Source organism: Homo sapiens, chromosome 11 (assembly GCF_000001405.40).
Source record: "Homo sapiens chromosome 11, GRCh38.p14 Primary Assembly".
Taxonomy (NCBI): Eukaryota; Metazoa; Chordata; class Mammalia; order Primates; family Hominidae; genus Homo; species Homo sapiens.
Genome location: NC_000011.10, coordinates 112,731,802 through 112,737,801, shown reverse-complemented (window position 1 = coordinate 112,737,801; position 6,000 = coordinate 112,731,802). Strand labels below are relative to the sequence as shown.

The following is a 6,000-nucleotide window of genomic DNA, read 5'->3' as shown; positions in this document are numbered from 1 at the left end:
CCGCTGCCCAAGGGCTGGCTCCCTCCCCGCAGTCTCTTAAGTTCCATTGGTATTCCCCTTGTCCATTGTCTGTTGCCTAGGTTGCTCCAACAATCCCGCATTGTTCTACCACCTCCAAGCTGCCCACCAACCATGCTCTGATGCATTTGTAGTCTTTCAAATGTGCACTTCTGCCTGGCGGCCTCCTCCTGGCTTCAGCCTTGAACCTCACCTTGATTGCCACTTCCTTTGGGGAAACTCCTCTGATGCTTTCCCTGGTGTAGGTAGCTCCCCCGCCTGATGCCATCACACCGTGGAACAGCCACATTTCACTGTTAGGTCCTGGCCTCCCACATCAGACTCTGAGCTCTACAAGGGCAGGTACTGTGTCTTTCTTGCTTACCCCTTTATACACATCTCCTTCCCCACAGAACAAAAATGCCTAACAAGGGTCATTTTGCAAGGGAGATGTGATCCCTTGGCAGGGAAATCTGGGCAGGATTTCTGATGATAAATAAATAAATGAGGAGCCCACAGCTGGTGCACAGGTGGCCCCTGGCCTGATCTAGCCTGGCACTTTCTTCCCCTCTCCTTTGCTTTCCCTCCTTGCAGAGCTGGCTGCTGTGACCACAAATGGAGAGGAAACATGATTTATATTTCTTTCTTTAGTTTGGAGAGTGCTGTGACAGACATAGATAAAGTATCTCTCTCCTCACCCCACCCCCCCCCCAATTTTTTCTTTGGGTTTGTGAGTCTTTGAAGACAACCATCTGAAATGGGTTGACAGGCAGGTGTTTGGGAGAGGGAGAGAGCTGGGAATAAGGTGTTTTGACTGAGAGAAGAGCCACTAATGCATCCATAGCTGTTACCAGTGTGATGACAATTGCAGTTATGGAGGCACTTTGATTGGGGAGGAGGAAGAGGAGAGAGAGGAGAGAAGCCATCTTCTTATCTGTCAGAGGCAATAGCAGAGTCTGGGAAAGCTAGACCCTCTCACTGCCTCTAAAAATCTTTCTGGACAAAAATAAAATAAAATAAAATAAAGTAAAAACTAAGCCAGGTCTGTCTGGACCTGGGGAACAGTAAAGTGGCTTAGATATGACCTGAGGCACACCCCATTCTTTATTTGCTTCTCCTGGAATTGATACCTGTAGAGCCTCCAATAGACATTTTTAGCTACTCAGCAGGATGGGTCTCCTATGTGCCCATGTCTCAGGTGCTAGAGGGTCCTAGAAGTTACTATTTCGACCCTTAAAGCACAGTGAATGCATATGGATCCCTGGACTCTGCCCCGATTTACCCAAGCCTTCCTCTTCATGTGTGATCTTGATAGATGAAGAGAGTAGAGAAAGGGAGAGAAATCCTAAAACTGAGAAAGTGCTGGGAATGGAAGGGAACTGCTGGACCCAGCTGCTCTGCAGGGAGAGAGACACGTTCCAGAGAACAGCACAGTCATAGTACAGAAAACACAGAAGCACATTTGTCTGGGACATCAAGTGTGTGTGTGTGTGTGTGTGTGTGTGTGTGTGTGTGTGTGTGTGAGAGAGAGAGAGAGAGAGAGAGAGAGAACAAGGATTTAGTGGAAGTTCAGCACTGAGTCCTATTGAAAATGAAGCCAGAGCTGACAGATGTCAGCCGACTCCAGCTACGCCTACTGCAGACATCAGGGCAGCCCAAGCTCAAGATGCCCTCCTGCTCCTGCCTGCCTTGAGGGTTCATGCTACCCTCAGAGCCAAGCAGGCAAGGAGGCCTCAGGCAAGCTCAACCAGACAATCTGTACTGTCAGATTCTGGGCAAAGGAGGCATCACTGTGTTCCCTTCCTTCCTAAAAGGCAGAGTTCTGCTATCCATATTCCTGCCTGCAGCCCAACACACACACACACACAAACACACATGCACACACACACAGCACCAACACTACCACCACAATGACCAGCAGCAGCGGCAGCTTTTGCCAGGCAGCTATACCAGGCTGCCTCATCCTATTTACTAACCAAAAGGAAGAAACTAAAATCCAGTCCTAGACTTGGCTGTGCCTCAGCCCCATAAAGCCTTGCAACATCCAGAGTTCTCACGTAGCCCAGAAAATAAGAGTAATGAACAGCTTACATGTATTCAGTGCTAACCACAGATAGGCATTGTGCTAAGTGCTTTGTGAGACTTACCTTGCATACCCCTCACAACTCTCTGAGGCAGTTTCAGTTATTAGTTCCGTTTTGTCAATGAAGAAACCAAGCCTAGAAATTAAACAGGTAAACAAACCAAGCAACCCAGAGTCATCCAGAGCTACCAAGGACCATGGCCTCAAAGAAGGCTTCTCTGACTTCCCAGAGCTGACTTAGATGCCTCTCCTTTGGGCTCAAGTAAGGATCTTAGCACTTACCACATAGCATTATAATTAAGGGCTTATACACCATGACCAAATTTTTCACTAGTGGAATGTCAATGAAAGCCATTTGTGCAATTTCCAGGCCTGTGCACCTGTGATTCCACTTCCACCATGTAGATGAGGGCAAAGCCCCATGACAGTGGTTCTTAAACTTGGCTGCTATTGGAGTCAATGTGTAGCCAAGTTTGGGAACTGCTGCTTTAGAAGATGCCACAGAAACACGATGGAAGGAACCTGTGACCCTGGATGACTGTATGAAGCAGATCATCCTGCCAACTGGGAACATCCACCTTGAACAGTTACGTAAGAGAGACATCACCTCTATCTTACCTACCCTCACAAATGCCATGGAGATGCCTGAGGAGTAGAAGGAAAATCTGATTATCACCTGGAGGCCTGGACTGTCAACCGTTGGTCAGGAAAGGCAAAGGCACCAGCAATTGCTTGCTTGTAAACACACATGCACACACATGCACAGCTCACACACTTTTGCTGCACAGTTCTCCCTGTCCCAGTCACCATTAAAGCAGCAATCAGCTAAAGCCACAGTTTTCCTGGCTTCCCACCAGGCTCTGATTAAGAGAGAACTTCTCCACCCACCTTCCTCACTCCAAGGAAGGCTGAGCGCCAGCTTCCTCCTTTACATTCTCTTCCTGTTCCTATAAAGCAATTAAAGTTTCCTGTAGACTTCACCTTTCCTATCTTCTCTCGTAGAACTTGGCTCATATTTTTGTCTTGTTCTGAACCCACAAGTTTCTCCTTCTAGTTCAGAAGATGAAAAAAATCCCATGATTCAGCTGACCACCTGTAGGGAGGGGGCTCCTACCTAAGTCCCTGGTGTAAAATTCAAGTAGAATCCTGCACCACTGCTGCTTGGAAGTTGGAGGCCAAGCAAGCTTAGTAGCCTTGGAGTTTAGAAATGGGGCTCCTTGCAAGCAGAGACCTCAGGATGAGGAGTGCCTTCTAAGGAGAGGAAACCGTGGCCATTCCCCAGAGAGGCAAAGTGGCAGACCCTGAGTCCAGGACCATGGACAGGGAAGAGCAGGCCCGAGAAGCATGTGGACGAGAAGGAAGATAACTCCCTGAGTAGATGGCCCAGACTGGGTGGTTAGCACTGAGTGAAAGCACCTCAGGCATGGTACCTATCAAAGAAGAGATGATACCTCTTAGGGATCTGGGATCAAAAAAAAGAATGTCAACAAAAACAACATGTGGGACAATACAAGCAACACAGGGAAATGTCCTAGCCATAATGTGACTTTTATCCCATAGGACAAAGCATGCTACAGTTCCATGAGGGAGGTGCTGCCACCCAAGCTGTAGTACTGAGCTCCTTCCTGCTCTCTATGTGACCCTAACCAGTCAACTGGGCTTCTCTGAACTTCAGTTTCTTTATCCACAAAATTAGTATGATGGTAATAGCTTTCCTAGTGACTTTACTATGGTGTTAATAAAATCAAGATGATGTATATGAGGGTAAATAGTAAAACATAATTTGTGATAAATATTTCACATCTCTGGTTTTCTACTGGCTTCAGATGAAATTTCGTTGCTGAGTAGTGAGACTTCAGTATAGAAGCTACTCATCAAATATTTGCTGGAGCACTGTTGATTTTGTTGTTTAAAAAAAGCAGTTAAGTAAACGCAGTCCCTTCTAGTCAGAGGCAAGTGGAAAGAAAAAGAGGAGAAAGGAGGCAGGTTTAGAGATTCAGACCTTGTGTAGATCTGCAGTTCTGTTCGGCTGCCTCCACATTGATCCTCCTGCTTCCTTTCCCTTGCAGTGAGTCTAGAGAGGGTCTGCAGGAGAAAGAGCAGAACAGGGAAGCAAGTGAGTGAACCCTGGGAAGGGCTCTTACCCAGGCTCCCGTCCTCACTGTTCCAGACAGATTGTTTATAACAGTGGTTGTCCATGTCACAGAAAACCTGTCCTCCCCACAGCCCACAGCAGCCATGCTCTAGATCATGTAAGTTCCCCTCAACTGACTACAGCTGAGTGATAGGCATCTGACCCAAGAATCTAATCTATAGTCTGGCAAGTGGGCAAGGAGTTGGCCTGGCATGATAATTTTCCCCCAGGGTTAATGACTTAGAAGAATATGGGAAGAATAGGGCAGTTAGCAGTTATATTAGTCCATTTTCACACTGCTGATAAAGACTTAACTGAGACTGGGTAATTTATAAAGAAAAAGAGGTTTAATTGACTCACAGTTCCACATGGCTGGGGAGGGCTCACAATCATAGCAGAAGGCAAAAGGCATGTCTTACATGGTGGCAGGCAAGAGAGAATGAAAGCCAAGCAAAAAGGATTTTTCCTTATAAAATCACCAGATCTCATGAGACTTATTCACTACCACAAGAAGAGTATGGGGAAACAACCCCCATGTTTCAATTATCTCCCACGAGGTCCCTCTCATGATGCATCGGAGTGGTGAGAGCCACAATTCAAGATGAGATTTGGGACACAGCCAAAGCATATCAGCAGTGAACAGAGGAACTAAAAGTCATGAAGTAAAGAGAGGCTGGGGAGGGGAGCATGAGGGGCCATGGGTGGGCCAAAGTTCTGAGCAAGAAGAAACCATGAGATAGAGAGAAGTCAGAGCAGAGAGCAAAGAAGAGAAGTGGGCAGACATGGAGAGAGGAAAACACAAGGAGAGGAGCCCAGACCCATCAGGACTGTGCCCCTAATGCCACTAATGCCCTAATGCCACTGCCATGTGTTCTGCTCTCAGCCTCCCCAATCCTGGTTCACCCTAGAGCCAATTCCTCCCAGAGCTTGTTTGTTCAGCTTCTCCAGAGTGCCCTGGAAGCTGGGCTTTGTGGCTGGCCTTCTCATTTTCTTATTCCTATGTGCATCCTTACCAAAAATCCTGCATTACTTGAGGAACGCTGTTTGGGTTTCTGCTTCTTGCAATCCAAAAATCTAAGCAAATAGGCTGCCGCTGGGGATTTGGCAGCTTGAATCTCAGAGCCTAGGGTCGTTGGCACATCCCTAGGTTGTCTGTCTAGCAAAGCTGGGGCAGCTGAGCTCGGCCCTACAGTCTGGAAGGGCTGGCCTTGAATGGCTGAAGCTCCTGTTCCTGAGCCCAGTTCAGGGTCCTCGCCATCAGAATAACAATGAGTTCACACAAGCCAGCAGGTGTGCAAGCCCAGCCCTTGCCCATCCGTTCTAGTTAACTAGGGAGGCCCATGCATGTGCCATTGTCCTGCCTTGGCATCAAGACTATGATCTGCTAAACATGCTGAGAGAGGATGGGTAACTAGAGATGGATGCCAGACCCTATATCTTTATGCAATCTCTTGCCTAAAATTCACAAAGCCTGATGCAAAGGTACAGAGGCTTCCTGCCCAGCTTCCTTCTCTTTACACCTGGGCGCCATCCTATACCACTGATGGCCACATGCACAGAGGGGCAGATTCTCTGGCCATAAGTTCAAGCTTCATCTACACTTGTCCCATCCCCTCAATAGCCACTCTTTGGCCAGCCTTCAGGCCTTGGGGCATGCAGACCAGTGATGAACCTGGAAGTGCACCTGGGAAGAGGCCCCTGTGATTCTGGAAAGGGTAGTTCAAGTCTGTTTAGTCTGTGTCCCAAGTACATTGAATGTGGGACAGAAGGGGACATGGGTATAGTA

General features: G+C 47.7%; 1 long non-coding RNA gene across 1 annotated transcript in view, besides 1 other annotated feature; it reads left to right on the top strand.

The window, feature by feature from the left end:
* The first annotated feature begins 260 nt into the window (after positions 1-260).
* LOC105369496 (uncharacterized) overlaps positions 261-6,000 on the top strand; it is a 38,770-nt gene continuing 33,030 nt past the window's right edge. The window contains exon 1 of the long non-coding RNA XR_948018.3: positions 261-360. This is a non-coding gene — a long non-coding RNA (uncharacterized LOC105369496). The remainder of the gene's footprint in view (positions 361-6,000) is intronic.
* Positions 3,289-3,489: a silencer, noted in NCBI's record as "peak1472 fragment used in MPRA reporter construct". NCBI's record gives its function as "represses an SCP1 promoter by STARR-seq MPRAs in K562 erythroleukemia cells {active_cell/tissue: K562}" and the evidence as "EXISTENCE:reporter gene assay evidence [ECO:0000049][PMID:32103011]".